At 41.5% G+C, this 18,652-nt stretch overlaps 2 long non-coding RNA genes and 1 pseudogene across 3 annotated transcripts in view; 2 read left to right on the forward strand and 1 right to left on the reverse strand.

Annotated features, from left to right (window-relative positions):
• On the forward strand, nucleotides 453–1,226 carry LOC100422241 (transforming acidic coiled-coil containing protein 3 pseudogene; annotated as a pseudogene).
• Nucleotides 7,061–18,652, forward strand: part of LOC107984326 (uncharacterized) — a 162,012-nt gene continuing 150,420 nt past the window's right edge. For both annotated transcript variants that reach the window (XR_001748187.1, XR_001748188.1), the window contains exons 1-3: nucleotides 7,061–7,424; nucleotides 13,650–13,761; nucleotides 14,844–14,943. This is a non-coding gene — a long non-coding RNA (uncharacterized LOC107984326). The remainder of the gene's footprint in view (nucleotides 7,425–13,649; nucleotides 13,762–14,843; nucleotides 14,944–18,652) is intronic.
• LOC105376631 (uncharacterized) lies at nucleotides 13,185–15,126 on the reverse strand. Its single transcript, XR_931199.3, has 3 exons — nucleotides 15,075–15,126; nucleotides 14,825–14,928; nucleotides 13,185–13,244 (listed from the first exon to the last, which is right to left on the reverse strand). It is a non-coding gene; the product is annotated as an uncharacterized LOC105376631 (long non-coding RNA).

Here is an 18,652-nt window from a genome sequence, read left to right on the forward strand (position 1 = left end):
CGGGGTGATCATCCGCATTTGATAATAGCCTTTATCCAAGGGAAAAACGAAATTCCCACCTCTTTATGATAGGAGGGAGACTTGCAATTTGGATCCAGGCATCAATTGAAGTTAGGTTCCTACCCTGCCCAGGAAACTGAGAGATAGGAGCCTTAACTTCCTTAATGATTATATTTCAAAGAGATGGTTCCCAGGTTCTTGTGGAAACATTCCTGGGTTGTAAAATTGGTAAGAGCCTTCTTTAGCTTTTAAAAATATTTATATACATTTCAAAGTAGCAGAGTAAGAGCTTACACTTACTAGTTTTCTAAGGTAAATGCCCAAAGAAGAGGGCAAGGGGGAAGGTCTCTTTCCTTTTTCTTTGCAACAAAAAGAATTGGCTTTTTTTTTTTTTTTTTTTTTTTTTTTTTGTCTGATTTGTATTTGCCCTTCCATGCATAGTGTCAGCATCTCCGTGATCCCAGCAGGGCCCAGAGCCTGCCACGGGCCTCAAAGAGGAGAGCTGCAGAGATTGAGCAGATATTCTAGGCACAGGGAATGAGGTAAATTATTTGTAGTACTTTGTAACTTTTCTGTTGAAGAAGTCTGTCCTGAGAAAAGAGTTTTTCTCCCTTAAATTTGACCCTTTCTTAGAAGACAGCCCTAAGAAACTGAGTCCTATGGCTAATGAGACTAACAGCATTTGTGATGCACACAGCCTTGCTCTGGAAGTCTGTCTAAAGCAAAGCCAGTGGAATTTGATGTCTTAGCCCTAATTGTTCCTGTGGGGGACCATTCCTGACCTGTTGAGGGCCATGAGCTCATCTCTGCTCATTGTGATGCCCCGACAAGGACAAGTCTGCAGGACACCCAGGAGGACCCGATGCTGTGGTTAAAGCCTCGTAAAGGGAGAGCCTGGAATAGAAAAGCAAGTAGGAGGGGCTCCCAGTGAAAAGTCTGGAGATGGGGAAAATCACGGTTGGGTTTGAAGGGATCATAATCCAGATGACTGGGGAGGCTCAGGAACAGAAGGAGCTCGATAGAGCTGAGGCCGGCAATACCTGGAGGGCCTTTTGAAAGAAAAATATCAACTTGGTACAGACTTGCACTCCATGGACAAATCCGTCTCTGATCTTTTCAAGAAATTTGAGAAACAGAAGGTGACTAAAGGCCGTGGAGAGCTTGAAGAATCACTGAGGCTGTGTGTTGAGGATTACAGAGCGAGAATCAGAAAGGCAGGCTGGAGATGCTGTTGGAAACCAGACTATGCCGCCCCCAGATACACTTCTTTGGCATATTTTGAGCCGGTTATTCAGAAAAACTGCAGACACAGAAATAGCACTGAAAAGCTATCATCTTATAGAGGAAATTTGCATCTATCCACATTGGTAAAGCAAACAGGGGATGCTGGCAGAGGTTTTCTCTGAGGTCCCCTATTCTAGGTCTAGGAAAGATGATCTCACAGGCAAAGGAGACTGAAGGTCAGTCACTTTTGAAGGTCTGGCAGAGGAACTTAATCACAAGCTCCCATCTCTTCTTTCTGAGGGCTGCTCCCTGAGATAATTCAGCATAATAAGACAGGTTGTGCTTATCCATGGCTTCCTCCCCTTATCCCCCCAGAATCTGTCACCACCTTCCCCCAGGAGCCCTAGCCTCTAGTTTTTTGTACAGTTATAAAAATTTCAGTCGTCAGTCCTTCTTCGGGTCTTCTATTTCATGTGGCTTCCATGTGCATGCACACATAATAAATTTGCATACCTTTTCTCCTGTTAATCTACTATCATTTTGTTTTATAGCCTCGAATGATCCAACCTTCAAGGAGAAAGAGAATTATCTTTGTCTCTATGCTATTAAGTACTGAAGGTTTGTACAAGAGAGAAATACGATTTAGCATGTGAGTTAATCGTGCAGGTCTAGAGGGAAGGCCCACATGGAGGCCATGGCTTTTCAGGCCAGTCTGATGGAGCAGATGTAGATCCATTCACTGAGGAAGGCCGTGGAGCAGGAGACTAAAGAAAACAATGAGAATCTGTGATCTGATTTCAGAGGCGGAAAAACGTGTCAGTGACAGGTGACTTTCTCTCTTTCCTCCTGTCTGTCCATCTGTCTGCCTGACCCTGTCCACAAGCAGTTCTCCTGGACTCTCTTCTTGTGTTTTCCTTTTGGCAGAAATCTGAGTGATTCTCAAATGAGATACCTACAGAAAACTAAGTATAGGAAATTTTGACTTCTGGATGTTACACTTCGTGCTCTATTTGGCTTATTAAATGTTGATGCTAATCTTTTTTTAAAAGCAAAGAAAAACACACAATCCAGAATAACATTGGAAACATTTAGTTCTGCATCCTCTAAGTCTCTATGTAAGTGGACTCTTTCTTTTTTTAAATTATTTTTTAATTTTTTTATTTTACTTTAAGTTCTGGGATACATGTGTAGAACATGCAGGTTTGTTACATGTGTATACATGTGCCATGGTGGTTTGCTGCACCCATCAACCCACCTAGGTTTTAAGCATCGCATGCATTAGGTATTTGTCCTAATGCTCTCCCTCCCCTTGCCCCCCACCCCCCGACAGGCCCCGGTGTGTGATGTTCCCCTCCGTGTGTCCATGTGTTCTCATTGTTCAACTCCCACTTATGAGTGAGAACATGCGGTGTTTGGTTTTCTGCTCCTGTTTTAGTTTGCTGAGAATGATGGCTTCCAGCTTCATCCATGCCCCTGCAAAGGACATGAACTCATTCTTTTTTATGGCTACAAAGACTTGGAACCAACCCAATGCCCATCAGTGATAGACTGGATAAAGAAAATGTGGCACACATACAAAATGGACTTTCTTTTCTTTTCTTTTTTTTTTTTTTTGAGATGGAGTCTCGCTCTTTCACCCAGTCCGGACTGCAGTGGTGCTATCTGGGTTCACTGCAAGCTGCACCTCCTGGGTTCATGCCATTCTCCTGCCTCAGCCTCCCGAGTAGCTGGGACTACAGGCACCTGCCACCGCGCCCAGCTAATTTTTTTGTATTTTTAGTAGAGACGAGGTTTCACCGTGTTAGCCAGGATGGTCTCGATCTCCTGACCTCGTGATCTGCCCACTTCGGCCTCAAAATAGACTTTCTTAAATTACATCTACCACTCTCTTAAAGGGTCTTAATGAAACCAGTGCAGACATGTTTGATTTGATATAAGATTTTTTGGTAGCATGTACTTCACATATAGAAGCCTGCACAGAACAAGACATTTTGCATAATAATATTTAATTAGTGGATGTTTGCTTCGAAAAGCCTTATGTGACCCGTGAAGCAATCAAAATAATTATGGGCACAAATTGCATATGCAAAATTGAGACCCTGTAGGTGTCCTCATCCACTCTGCTTATACCTCAGGGAATTGTTGGATCCTGGAAAAAGGGCTGTCTGCAGCCATGGGCGTGCAGTGGTGGCTTGCTTTCTCTTTGCTTCAGTGCTTTCCCTTTAAGCAGCAGGGAGATTAAAAAATAAAAATAAAGAACTTCACAATAGCAGAGGAGGAAGAGGAATGAGAAGTCTGCAGAGTGCCTTTTGAACTACCAGCTCTAGCATTTATTGCCTTCGCCGCTCATTTGTGCAAGTCTGATCTTGCCCTTTATTATCCAAGAGTAGAGTCCTTCTTCCTGTTAGATTGAGGTTCCTCGAAGCCACAAACCATGTCGTATCCTCTGTGCTGCCTGTAGTACTCTAATGGTGAAGATGTAGTGGATACTCAGTAAGGATCTGGAGAATTGAACTGACGAGCCGTGATAGAGTACAATAGGATGGTATTTTTGAGATTTCTTTTTCTTTTGCACTTACCTACACATAATCTCTGTAGTTTACTGGAGCATCCTCCTACCTCTTAGAATGGTTACAAGAGGGATACAAAAAGTTAGTATTCCAATTTTGATATTTAAAGTAGTATTTTTTGGTTCTGCAGTAAAACAAAATTTTAGATGCTTTAAACTCCTTTTACTCCTTCCCCTGGCTTTTTGTTTGTTTGTTTTTACCAGATCAAGAAGTAGGCCGCAGGTGATTAAAGCGTTAAGATTTTCCAAGTGTAGAGGCTACTCCCCTTGCCTGACAGCAGGCAGGGCACAGGATTTAATGCCCCAAAGGAGAACAATTGTCAGAAGAAGCAAAAACTCAAGTCTACCTATTCTTACATGGCATTGTCAAAAGAGGGGGCGCAGGGAATGAGGAAGGGGTGAACACACAGGTTTTGATTTTTTTTTTCCTGGGCCTGAACCCAGAAGATGGGAAGTGCATGCATGTGTGTGTGTGTACCACCAGCGTGCTTGTTATTCTAGGAGTGGATTTGTTTCACAGGTTGCCCCTGTAGCATTCTGTGGGCAGCTTCATTAAAGGACGCTTGTCAGCATAGCCTGGTTAGGCTGAGGAGAACCTGGGTTTGGCTTTCCTGAATCTCTCTTAACTTTCAAATGACTGAATGTTCCTCATGCCCTAGGGCTAGCTGCTGAATTCTGTAGACCCTGACTGGGGAATATGGCAGGAAGGGGTTGCTTTCATGGACAAAGGAGCCACATTGCTGAGGACAGCAGGGCAGGGCTTCCTGGCCAGGCCTTGGGTGTGTCCACCCTGCAAGCAAGAGCTGAGTCTGGCATCCTGAGGTATAACAGCCATAGACTTTACAGAGAGGCCCCAGCAGAATGCCCAGGGCACAAGGTCATGCCTCAGTAGTCTCCAGGGGCCAGCCCAGCCTAGGCCCTCTGCAGCAGATACCAACCTACCTCTCTAGGACTCCAGCCGGCTCCCTCCCTTCTGCCTCCTCAAGGTTGCATGAGCCACATCCTTTCTCCCATATCCAAGATGCATCGTAGGAGGAGCAAGGGAAGGGAGCTCAGTCTCTAAAACCCTGAGCATTTACCCAGGTCATTCAAGCAGAGATGTGATGATGCCCAGGAAGTCTAAATTACTAGGTCAGACAAATATCTATTTCTGTTGCCATCAACTGGGTGAAAGCCTGTGAAGAAGACCAGATCAATTACAGAAGAATAAAAAGGCTATTTATTTTTGTACTTCGGAGTGCAGTATAAGTGAATATTGATCCTGCTACAGTGTGTGGGTTTTTTCATGTTTCTTAAAATTCTTTTAGAAATGAACATTTCCTAGCCTTCTCTGTAAACTCCAAAGTTAGACTCCAGTTTATAAAGGCATCAGCAGGAAGCAGTGCCTCCCAAGGTGGAGGAAATATGGAAAAAAAGATCTTTCCTGGCCGATTCAGAAGAGCTGAGAGTGAGCATGAGAGAATTAGCATGAGTTTGACCAGAGCTGCTAGCAAGCAGATTCAAGCAAACAGATATACATATTCTTTTAAATCTCCTACTGTGCCTTCAAATGGTCATCCCAAATGTTTCATTTTACATTAAGTGCCAGCTTGCCTCTAGGGATGAGGATAAAAGACATTTTGAATTTAACTTCTTAATTAGGAAACACCAAAGCTGTCATTCATACTAGGAGAAAGAAGGAGACTTCATCTCCCACTGCAGATAATGAGACTTTCCAGATATTAATTGTATGTGTGTTTAGCTTTGAAATGTAGTATTTAAAGTTTCGAGAATTAGAAATAGCATAGATATAGAGGACCTGGCCAGGCCCTGTCATGCAGTAGGGTCATTAATAAATGGGGATAACCCTTAAAAAATAGAGTAATCAGATTTTTTGGGGGGGGGATAATAAATTCACTCTTCAGTCTTTAAGTACCACACACCAGCTCTAAGGTGAAGTTGTGAAGAAGTTACTAAGTGACTTATCAGAAGCATCCTGGTTGAAATGAGAGGGAAAGTTGCTACCATTTATTCTGTGCCAGGAACTTGAACATCTTTTCATGCAATACCACATTTAATCCTCTTGCTATTCTCATAAAGTAGAGAAATATGTATTGATTCTGGTTATAAGAAAACTGAGGCTCCAAGAGTTAAACTGACCTGTCCACATTACCAGCTGATGAGTGTGAGGGTTGGAATACAAACCTAGATCTGAGACCCATGCTCTTTGTGTAATACCACCCTGCTGCCTCATGGGAAAGGTGAGAAGATCTCACAAAGGGATTCCACAATTGTACTTTGTACTTCTCCTCCTTGGTAAAAACTGATATCCATGATAGATTTTTAAAAATGAAATATGTCCTCCCTCTTAGATGGCCAGCAACATGTTTGCTGGGGCCAGGTCTGTTTTATTACTTATCCAAAACACATGGCCCAATGCTTGGTACATTGTACGTGGTCAAGTTTTTCACTGACTGATTATAAGTGAGCATATGCTATTGGAATCTAGAAAGTAAACTAATGCAAATTTGGGGGAGATTGTTTTTTGCAGATACATAAGTTTACTGATATGTCTTTGATTCATTTCGAAAATTCTTTCCCTAAAGGTATCGATGGATTGTCAGACTCCTTGATATTTACACTAATCATAACTCCTACATGATTAATAAACAAGTAAAAAATGTTGAAGATCAGGCAGGTGAACTGCTGGAGTGATCACTGTTAGAGTTTCTGAGTTTCTGTTCTTTTCCAGGATAAGATTTGGTTCCTAATGGTTGGGCGTGGGCTCTGAAACTTGGAGAATCAGAAAGGGAATAGAACCTGTGATTTAGATTGCTGAGCCACACTTAAATGGCTGTCAGCTGAGATTCAGGAATGGCAGAGGCTGATTCAGCTGGAGTCATACAGCAGCTACTATTAATAACAAGACGAGCAGAGTGGGGAGAGAACTCAATGAATCGAACAAGAGGGGACAATGGGAGCTCAGGAGGGTAAACCCGATTACCCAGTTACTACTGTGTCTTGTGTCCATCTGGAAATAGGCCTTGTCTCTTCCCTACCAGCTGAATTCTCAGCTGAAAATGCAAAGGTCAAACACTTAGAGAAGCCTGTTTTAATGGGGGTGGATATTATTTCTGCCTCAGCCATTTTCAGCTGGAAACCACAAGATGGCAATGTTGCATCATTCCTTGCAAGACCTTTACCCATGGCTGTCCTGACTCCAGGTGAATTCAATCGCTAAGCAATAAATTGGGAGATGCAGGATCTTGTTGGTTTAACCAGCTAACATTATACTTGTATTTGGTACTACTGATTGTGTTTTCCTTGATAAAATGTAGCATACTCCAGGAAAAGTAATACATTTTCACCCCTTGTTAGAACACTCATGTAATTCAAGCAAATAACACAAACACAGTCTGAATTTCAGTCTTCTAGACCCGGTTTTCCCCAACATCAGACTAATTAGTTTTATTCCATCTAGCCAACACCTGCTTGAGAAGAACATTTAGTGTCATAAAACAAACCACCCACCAAGAAATAAGGAAACTGAGAAAAGCCCACACACCAACGTCATGTTGCCAAGCTCAGCTCTAAAACAAAGCCTTACAACACACCCTGGTGGATTCTCTTGGAGGAAACTCCATTTTCTAATGTAAGTTTCTGCATGAAAAAACTCTGTTCAGAGTCGTGAAATGCTCTTATGCAAATGATATTGTTGGAATCTTTTTCGTTTCTTTAGAAGTCAATTTCTGAGGACATGTTCAGGTTTAATTCTTTCAGCAGACCCTTGAGTCCTCTGTTTTTTAATTGTGTTTGAGAAAGAGACTAAAATGAAATTTTGGTGGTGTGATCAAACACCAAGGGATTTGGTGCCTTCCCGAGTATTACGGGCATAGATCAAATACTGAGTACCTTTCGATGGTTATTAAGGTGAGGTTACAAGTGTTATAATTGTTTGCCCTAGAAAAGGTTCAGGTGTGAATGAGTTGCTTTCATGGAGGAGATTAAGGGAAAGGATGCTGCTAGATCAGTGGTTCTCAAATTTTAGCAGGCATCAGGATCACTTGGATGACATATCAAACTACAGATTACTGGACTTCACCTCTAGAGTTTCTGATTCTATAGGTCTAGGGTAGGGCCCGGGGATTTGTGTTTCTGACAAGTTCACAGGTAATGGGGATGCAGCTGGTCTAGAAGTCATGCTTTTAGAACCCTGATGCTGGACCTGTTTTCTCTAAAGGACAGGTAACTGGGTGATTTTCATTTAGGTGCTTTGCAGAGAATGTTGAGAAATACTGACTCAATAGAATGAATGCTTGCTTTAGGATCTAGAGATGTGAATTCAAATATAGGCCCTATAACTTAGTTGCTAGATATGTGAGGCCAATGACTTAACTTCCCATAATCTCCATCTGTTGTCTAGAAAATAGGATTGTACTCAGATATCAGGATTTGAGTCCTGGCTTTGCTAATTACTATATGACTTTGTTCAAATTACTTAGCCACTCTGAGTCTGATTCCTTATGGGTAAGAATAGTACTTCTGAGTTGTTTTAGAAGTGAAATATTTGATATAAGGGCACCACACAAAGGATTTGTTGCTTCTTTCCTTTTCTTTGCTAGATTGATATATGCATGCATCTGAAATCACTTCATAAAATACAGAACACCATAGAAATGTTGGTTAATGTTTCACAGAGAAATTGCTTTACGAAAAAACCTTCCTAGATCCTTTAGATTGTCTGTTTTCCTTAACCAGCTTAGCCTGTTTGCATAAATTGGCTATTTTTAGCCAATTGTGAGTTTCTTCTTATAATTGTTTGAAATCACTGGACAAACCTGAAGTTTGCCTAATATATTCCAGGCTGCAGGAGGAAGCACTGATAACGCCTGGAATTTTTTCCAGATTGGGTTGGTCAATTTTGCTTTCCCACTTTTAAAGACAAAAATAAAGAGCCAAGAGTTGAATGGCAAAATGCAGTTTGGCTTAGAGAATGGGGGTCAGCTGTGTGATGAGATCCTTCTGGATCCCTTTTCATGTCCCAGGGGAAGCTGGTACCCAAGCAGAATTGACCAGCTGGCTTTCACATTATGGGAAGTGTCTACTTGATGTCAGTATGATTTGTTATATAGTGAAAAAGTGATTGGTCATATAACTTGGTTTGGAGATGTTAAAGGCCTAATTCTCTTTCTGCCATTGAAAGGTATTTGATATTTCACCTAAACCCATTGTTCTTGGGAAGGCATTAAACCCGAGTTGTGCAACCTTGGGTTAGTCATTTCGCTTTACTGAGCCTCAGTTTCCCTATTACAACATGAGGGATTTGCATAAGATCAGACTTCTTATATAGCAGTCTGTAGATGGGATCCATGGACCGTTCAAAATGCCAAATCTTTTGATTGTGCAGTTTTATGTCGAGTGGATCTATAGCTTTCATCAGATTCTGAAAGGGGTCTGTTGCACTAAAAATATTTAACCTCAGGTGTTATTAAAGATCGTAGTCAAGTCTAAGCTTGCATCTCTGCCAGTGATGCTAAATAATTTCAACTGAGTTTTCACTGACCAGGTAAAATAGATCCTGTAGCTCATTTGGTATCTTATAGATACTGCTTTTTAAGTAATACCATTAAAGGAAATCAAATTTTAAACAGTGGTGAAAAGTTTGGGGAAAGATCAATGTCCAAGGAAAGGATAAAGCCATAGAACAGCTTACACGTATCACACAGCAGCAGTTTTGTGAATGTACCACTGTTCATGTGGTACAGATATTGGGCCTTATCAGCATACTCACAATTGATCAGGTTTAAGGTGATGGATACTCACTAAAGCAGTCCACATGAGACTGATGAATAAACTGGAATGCCAATGTGATTATTTACAGTGAGGGATGACTTCTCTCTGTGCCTGGATGGCTCCTTTTGCAGGACTTGAGCTACATTATTAATCAGTAGATTGTTAAGGATTTAGAGCAAAAGGATGCAAATAGTTTTGAAAAATGTTCCTTTTGGGTCAGGGTGAGGTCCCCAAATCACTGATTATGTTTCAGTAAAGAATCCAGTAGGCTTTCTGTTTCCTCCTGTTCAGTGTTGACTTATCTGTCAGTGGGGCTCCTTGTTTCCAAGTTCTTTGGGGATATGATTCACTTGGTCCCCAGACACCACCTAAAAAAGCCATGTTTTTTTTTTTTTTTTTTTCAGAGAAAATATTCTTAACCATTATTTTGTGCAAGCCAAGTTAAGTTGATGAGATACAAGACATAGTTTTCTAGTCACAACACCCATTAGATTGTTAATCCATGTTGAAAGCAACTTGAGTGGCTAACTTCATATAACACAATGATCATACCGTCATTATTCTTAACTTTCTTTTAACAATATTGGTGAAACTGAGGCTTTTGTTCAAATATATTTTTATCAGTTGTTCTCACTCTAAAAGCCAACTCTCTTTTCTAGTTCCTGGGGTCTCTTCTATTTTCCATGAAAGGAGATTGATTTCTTGTTCCTCTACTAACTTATCAGACAAACAAATCTCTTACCAGTTTGGGGATGATAATGTTTACCCTGTGTATCTCATGTAGGCTTAATGATATCATCAGGATGTTCCTGCAGAATCTTGCTCACCTGAGCAGGCATTTTCTAAATTAAATCAGTAGTGTTATAGAGTTCTAAACGTTCAGAGAAAGAGAGAGAGAGAGAGAAAGAAACAGAGAACATACAATGTAGGTGTGCCTCTTGGCAAGCAAGCCTGATTTATAATTGCATGCATTTATACAAAAGAGTCAAGACATTTTTACTATTCAAGAGGATCTCCTCACCAATTCTCACTTGGCAAACCTATGTTATGATTTGATTTATAAAAATTATTTACCCCTAACTTGTCAGAAATATGCACACTGTATAAAGTGAAACGCTGAGTTGGAATTCATGCTGCTTCATTCTTGGGATGCTAGTGATGCAGAGGAAGAAAATTTCAGTAACTCAATCCTGCAAAATAGGATGCTAGATAAAGACTCCTTGACCTCTTAGATCCATGCAATTTTCCGCAATTTTATCAAAGTCAAGCAGGAAGTACAGATATAAAACAGGTGAGGTTTCCTTTCTCAGACCCTCATTCCTCTTTTGCCCCTTTTATTTCTACCCTTGACAGTGCACGTGCCTCAACCACTCAGGTTATTGCCTCCAGTAGTCTTTCAATTCCCTGTAAACATCAGGGCCCTGGAAAAATGGCTAAATTTGCCAAATGTAAGGCATACGCGTTAACCATGGTTTAATATATGATCCATCCTATATGTTATTTGCATTTTAACAGAAAAAAAGATCAAAGGAGTACATTTCTGGTTCTAGAATTTCAGACCATGGTAAAATGGTAGGTCAAATTTTGAGGGAGAGGTATTGGGGGTGGATGGAAGGATATGCTATTTCTGTCCTATTAAATCAGATGTTATCTCACATTAAGGGGCCTGAAATCTCTGCATTTGATTCTAACTATGCAATTGATATAAATAACAAAATGGTTACTGCCACTACTTCGAGATTAAAGCATGCATTAACCTGTGGGGTTATTTTATAGTAATTAAGTGACAAAATCTCTCTGACTTTGGTGTGTATATTGAAGGCTTTTGTAGTTGATTAGCAGAGGAGTGATGCTGAGGAGCTTAATCAACCACTCAAGTTGTTAGTTTCAACTTTATTCCATCACCATGTTTGCTTTGCTGTATTAGAGGAAGGCAGGAAGGAAAACTTCATCCATTGACATGTTGCACATGTGCTCTCAGTCTCGCTGAAGGTTGAAGAAGATTGCTCTTACATTTCTCAGTCCCAAGCTACGCCAAGCTATGCTGCACGCTGACCTTATGGTAAGGCCAAGGATCAGCTGGGGAGTGAGTGATACTGATGAGGAGGTCAAGGTCAGGATTTCCATTTGGGTACAGCCAGTTGGTTTTGTCCCTGCACAGAGTCTGTTTAATGCCTTCAGCCATGCTGGAATCATTGATCCCAGGGTAAAAAGGATGATGGAATGGCAATGTATCCATGTAAACCCTCCCAATGTTGGAAAACATATACAAAGGTATAATCTATTGATGGGATAGTAGTGGTATCACCTTTGTATATAAAGAATAGCACCTTCTCCCTCCCTCCCTCCCTCCCTCACTCATCAGATATTTATTATAGCTCATACTCTATTCTGGATACCGGGTTTCATGCTGAAGAAATGCTAAGATTCATAAGAAATGTTCCCTGACCTCAAGGATATTACAGTAAAGTGAGAAATAGACTGGCAAATATTTAGAGTACTTTGTCATGTATATTGTGTTAAGTGAATAGAGAAGGTGTAATTGATCATTTCAGAAGGGAATCATAGAAGGTTTCTGAAGGAATTGTCTTTTGAGTTGGGTCTTGAAAAATGGGTAGAAGTTAACCAGGTTAACTGGTTAAGGGGTGGATGATGGAGATGTTTCACTTACAAGAAATGACTCACTGCACAGAAACCCTGGACCAGTATACCAATGGCCTGTGGTTTTCCGTGGCTAGAGTGCAGGCTGATGGGTAAGTGGAGTGGTAGGAGATGAGACTGTAAAGGAGGTAGAGGCCAAAGGGGGCTCCTGGGACATGTGAGAATTTAAAAAATATACCTGTTGGGCAATAGGGATCCTTCGAATATTTTTTCTGGAAGAGAGTGTGGTTTGTGATCTAATTAAATTTTTAGAGCCGGCCGTGGTGGCTCACGCCTGTAATCCCAGCACTTTGAGAGGCTGAGGCGGGTAGATCACAGGGTCAGGAATTGGAGACCAGCCTGGCCAACATGGTGAAACCCCGTCTCTACTAAAAATACAAAAATTAGCTGGGCGTGGTAGCGGGCGCCTGTAATCCCAGCTACTCCGGAGGCTAAGGCAAGATAATCACTTAAGCCTGGGAGGTGGAGGTTGCAGTGAGCCAACATCACGCCACTGTGCTCCAGCCTGGGTGACAGAGCAAGACTCTGTCTTGGAAAAAAAAAATTTTTATTTTAGAAAGAGTTGGGTGAGTGGATTGGAGAAAGAATTTGTCATGTGACCAAAAAGGGAGGCTGATGTCAATGTCCAGGTGAGAGTAAGGGGACCCAAACTGAGATAATTGTAGTGAGTCTAGAAGGTAAAGGACAGCTTTAGGAGATACTTAGTATAATTGGCATGACCAATTGTATAGATGGCTGTAGACAGGGATGGGTGGGAGTTATGGCACAAAAAGTAGAAAAAACTTGTAAGACAGTGAACAGAAGATATTGAGGGTATTTTTCTCAGAGAGAAATGCATGTAAATAAAGGACTTGTATTAAGTGTTCTAGATTGTTTTCTCACCTCTGAACTCCTATGATATTTTGATAATTTGATTTGGAACCATGCCACTTACCATTGAACTATAATTTCTATTCTCCTGGATAGTGGGAATACAAAGATGAATAGACAGAATCCTTCATCTCCAGAAGCTCATAATCTATTGGGGGGGGGGATGGCAATGATAAGTAAATAAATAAGTGCAAATGAGTATGATGGGTTTTCACCCAGGTATGTGTGAAGGACAGGGATGGCAGTATGCATTTAGGACATTGCATTAAGGGTCTGGTGTAGAAGAGTGACATGATTAGATTTTGAGTTTTAGAAAGATTATGGAAGTGTCAAAGGTGGATTAAAGTGAGGCCAATCAAGAGCTGGAAGACCAATGAGGAGGCAGATGCTCAGTTGAAAAAGCAGCTACAAGCAACTTTGAGCTACAAGGCTGGCCCTGTGGCACTGTGGAAAGGAACTGTGCCTTCTGAGTTCTGGAGCTCTCGATAAGTTCTAGCATTGCCTCAGGGATCAATCTCATTATTTAACCTTGGTTTTGCCTTTGGTCATTTAGGGATCCTGAGGAGTTCTGTCTTCTTTTTTACTCCTACTGGTGATGACAGTGTGCATTGGTGATAAGGACTGGACATTGACCTTGTGATGAGAAAACAGAATGGGGAATGAAGGTAAGGGAAGGGTAAAAGACAAGATCTAGAGAGTGCTGTTACCATAGGAGTGAGATCTGGGTGTGTGCTGCTGGTAGGGGAAATTTGCATGAGGCTCCCAAATGCTTGAATGGTAGGAGAATGCAATAAAAGGAGGCAGGATGGCCCTGAATAGTAAGAGGAGAGGAACTTCCCTACATTTTGCCATAGTCCAACCCTTAGTGGTTCTTCAGGTAAGATTTTATATTATAGCTGTAGCAATAAAAATAACAATAAATTGGGCGCAGTGGCTCAATGCCTGTAATCCCAGCACTTTGGGAGGCTGAGGCGGGCAGATCACTTGAGGTCAGGGGTTTGAGATTGGCCTGGCCAACATGGCGAAACCCTGTCTCTACTAAAAATACCAAAATTGGCCGAGGGTAGTGGTGCACACCTGTAATGCCAGTTACTCAGGAGGCTGAGACATGAGAATTGCTTGAACCTGGGAGGCAGAGGTTGCAGTGAGCTGGGATCATGCTGCTGCACTCCAGCTTGGGCAACAGGGTGAGACTCTGTCTCAAAAATAAAATGAAGTTAAAAAAATACCCAAATAACAATAAATTACATAGTTCTAAGCATTTTACGTATATTATCTCATTTAATCATTTTAGCCACTCTGAGAAAACTGAAGAAGCACAGAGAGGTTAATCACATGCTGAAGGTAGAGCTAGAAAGTGACAGAGCTGGACTTTCAGCCTAGGTAGCCTCGCTCCTGGATCCATGTGCTTAATCACTGAGCTGTCTCCCAAACTCTTTTGTCAAGGGAAGACATGAGCCCATAAGTCCCTGGATGATGTCTGTTTCTTTATCTTAGCCATTCTAAAGTAAGTCACTCCAATGCTATGTTTGGTTTAAAATAGGGGATGAGAGGAAAGGATATTTTCCTTGTGTCTGTGAATTCCAGGTGACAGTGAATAGACAAGGAGGAAATCAACAGGAACTGAAGGATTCCAGGATGCCTATGATGCTGGCTGGACCTTTGAGGATGAGCTAACTGCATTTGAGGGAATACTGTCTTATTAGATCTAAAGGTGATGTTACTGACCTGTGTCTTTCCTCATTAGCCTGTCCCTGGAAATGCTGGACAGCTGAAGCCACGATGACAAAGGAGAAGATTAGAGGCAACTGAGACCTAACCAAGTCACGGACCTGGAAGATGAAAAGGTGAGTCTTGTTTGAAATTGCACCTCCTGGGCCCACTTCAATGCCCGAGCTTTCAGGCAGAATTGTGGTGCACACACTTTTCTTTATTTTTAAAGGTAAAACATTGATTGTTCTGGAGACAAGAAACTCACCTTAGCTGTGAACTAATGCCTCAGTCGAATGTAGGGTTCAGTGTCTCCATGGCTTTCTAACCCCTGGGCAATGTTTTATAGCAATTACCTGTACAACCAGTTGCTATAGTTACCTATTGTCTATGCTTCAAGAAGAGAAATATCTAGCTAAGCTAGTTAGCAGAAGAAATAGGTGCTGAAGTCTAACAAGAAAGAATGGGACATGCAGAAAAAAAATATTTTTACCCACATAGTGACAAGTTTAGAGCATCTAGCCTACTTACAGGCCAGTGATCATAGATCTGTATCTCCTTTTCCAAGTGAATCATCCCAATTCACAAAGATGAGCCCAAAGCAGCCATGTTTAAAATAGGTGGCCACAGTGCCACCTAGTTGTAACTGATTGGATCAGGGTGAACACCTAACCCAGGCTGGGGCAATCCGATTCTGTTGCCTGGAAATCAGGACTGAAGTCTTTCCAGTCTGTCTGGATAAATGGCAGGGCCTGTTCTATGCAAGCTCGAAAGAGTGGGGACCATTTTCTATCTTATGGAATGAGGAAAAAAAGAAAGCATACCTGTGGAGGGAGAATAAGCCTATTTGCAGAGGAAGCAGTGAGAGGAAATGTAGCTTAGGAGTTTTTTTTAGTTCCTGTCCCTTTCTGAAGCAGGGTTGCATTTCTGCCTTAGAGCATTTTCTTTCTTTCTTGTATTCATTATTATTATTACTCATTTTTCGTTCTTACTGGCATGAATTAGTTTCCATCACTTCTCACTAAAACTTACATGGTGCTCCAGTGTAAGTTATGCTCAAGGCACCTGTGATGGGTTGAATTGTGTCCTCTTATAATTATATGTTGAAGTCCTAACTCCTAGTGCCCCAGAATGTTACTGTATCTAAGGCCAGGGTCTTTAAAGGGGTAACTAAAGTGAGGTTATTAGGGTGGGCCTTAATCTACAATGACTGTTGAATTTATAAGAAGAGATTAGGACACAGGCATGCATGGAGGAAGACCTTGTGAACATACTCATCTACAAGCCAAGGACAGAGGCCTCGGAAGAAATCAACCCAGCCCACACCTTAATCTCAGACTTCTAGCCTCCAGCATTGTGAGAAAATAAGCTTCTGTTATTCAAGCTATCCAGTCTGTGGGACTTTGTTAGGTCAGCCCAAGCAAACGAATGCAACTGCTATGTACGACATGAGACTATAATTCCTCCTCCCTCTGCCCGCACCAAAGGAAACTTGATAATCAACTAACTGCTATTCTTTTCTTAATAGTGATCCATAAAAACAATAGCAGAAAGATTTTTTACTTTGGCTAAAAAGCCAATAACTGGCATTCAAGGCCCCTGATGGAGTATAGCTCTAAAGGAATACATCTTCTTAATGCTCTTGTTTGGCTTAAATTAAAAGTGTTCAGCTTCATGCCTTCGCAAGGAAAGGTGCCTGCTAAAGCTTTAATTTTACATGGGAAAATGATTGCTTTTTCACTAATTGGAATGAATGGGAACCCTTTCTTCAATTCATTTAAACTCAGGTGAAAACAAAGTGAGTCACTTTGCAGAAAGAAGTACAGGAACTTGCAGATTCCTCCCTACCACCCTTGAGTTCTGAGATCAGTGTACAAAAAGTCACTTCCATCAGTTATCCTCACATTAGAGAATTAGGCAGAGAAAAGCATCCAGGTTTCTCTCACTTTTAATCAGGACAAGGTATAGGAAAATGCTGTTGACATTTCAAAAAAAGTTGAGAGAAGTGAAGGTCAAGAGTGAATAGAAAAAGATGTTGATTTAACTGAACTACGGTGGCACTTAAGAGGTCGCTGAGCAGAGACAAGGTGCAAAGGAAATAGGAATAGCTTATAGACTGGTAACACAATATGTGCCAATAGAAGCAGCCACCGAAAGGATTCTGTCATTTGTGTGTGTGCCCCAAGGCAGTTTTGGTTTTTTTGAAAGGAGGAAAGGAGGATTTTATTTGGAACATGTGGTGTTCACATGTTCCTGCAAAGGAGAATAGACATGGCAAATAAGTTTCAACTCATGTGCAGCTCTGAATATGTGGATTATTATCTCCCTGGAGAATTGTGTTGGGATGCATTCTGAGGAAGGAGCATCAGTTAAGGAGAATTAATGAATTAATATGAATGTGAATGTTGTGCACGTGCATTGGTGGGACCAAAAGTCAATCACTGATGGCCCTGGGTCCAAGCGGGCTCTGTGAGAGGTTTTTAAAAATTTTTGGCCGGGCGCGGTGGCTCACGCCTGTAATCCCCAGTGCTTTGGGAGGCTGAGGCAGGCGGATCACAAGGTCAGGAGATTGAGACCATCCTGACTAACATGGTGAAACCCTGTCTCTACTAAAAATACAAAAAATTAGCTGGGCATGGTGGCGGGCACCTGTAGTCCCAGCTACTTGGGAGGCTGAGGCAGGAGAATGGCGTGAACCTGGGAGGTGGAGCTTGCAGTGAGCCGAGATCATGCCACTGCATTTCAGCCTGGGAGACAGCGAGACTCCGTCTAAAAAAAAAAAAAATTATTTCAATAGTTTTTGGGGAACAGGCGGTTTTTGGTTACATGGATCAGTTATTTAGTGATGATTTGAAATTTTGGTGCATCTGTCACCTGAGCAGTGTACATTGTACCCAATATATAGTTTTGTTTGGCCCAGCTGGTCTTTTAAAAAGATTTGAACTAAACATTTAAGAGTAGAGATATTTCATTTTTTTTTTTTTTGCCCCCTACCCCTACCCTTCCACATTTTCAGTTTCTTTTATAAACTCCAGCAATACTGGGTATTTCTGCATGACAATGGCAGGATGGAGCTAGGTAGTAGCTCAGTTTAAGCATGGCCCCTGTGGACACTGGGCTGTGTGATCCCAGGCCCTAGGCTAATTATACCTTCTGGGCTCAGGGTTCATGTGGCTGTGGATTGAGGATGTGGCTAGCAGATGGCCTCAAAAGTCAGGAAGTGCTGAAATTTTAAGACTATTCCGGCCTAAAAAGCAGAATAAAGGGTTGGCAAGTATGGCCAAAGCAGATGTCTTTTAGTAGTGTGAACAAGACCAAGACCACAGACCGTAGTGTTCCCAAAATACATGCTGACTGCAGTCTTTTCTGGAGGGGATGGGCAGTCCAAAGTTCTGTGAGGAGAAAGCTGTGACCTATACAGTCTAGATTCTGGAGAAGTCCTCTTTGCTCTATTTATGTTACTTCTGGGCATCATCTTTAATGGGTGCAAAAGTGACACATCCCATCAATCTACCATTTTTATTCTTCGATAAAAAAATGGAATTAGTAGTATAGATTAAGCCACTTCTTCGAACTCTAGATCCACATGTCCAACTGTCTATTTCCTATCCTTGCTGTTTTTGTCATATAATTCAAGCATTAAGTGTCCAAAATGAAACTCATTCTTCCCTTCCTTCCCCACGAGATCTGGTTCTTTCTGGTGTTTTTATCTCAAGGAATAGGACTTCCTCCATTCAGCTATAAAAACCAGGAAGCTCTTGCTCTTTATCTGCTATCCCCTCACCCTTTATCCAAACATGAATCCCAGTCAATTTTGCCCTAAGTACCTGTTGAATCTTCCCACTC

The sequence above is a fragment of the Homo sapiens genome, chromosome 11, assembly GCF_000001405.40.
Source record: "Homo sapiens chromosome 11, GRCh38.p14 Primary Assembly".
Lineage (NCBI taxonomy): Eukaryota > Metazoa > Chordata > Mammalia > Primates > Hominidae > Homo > Homo sapiens.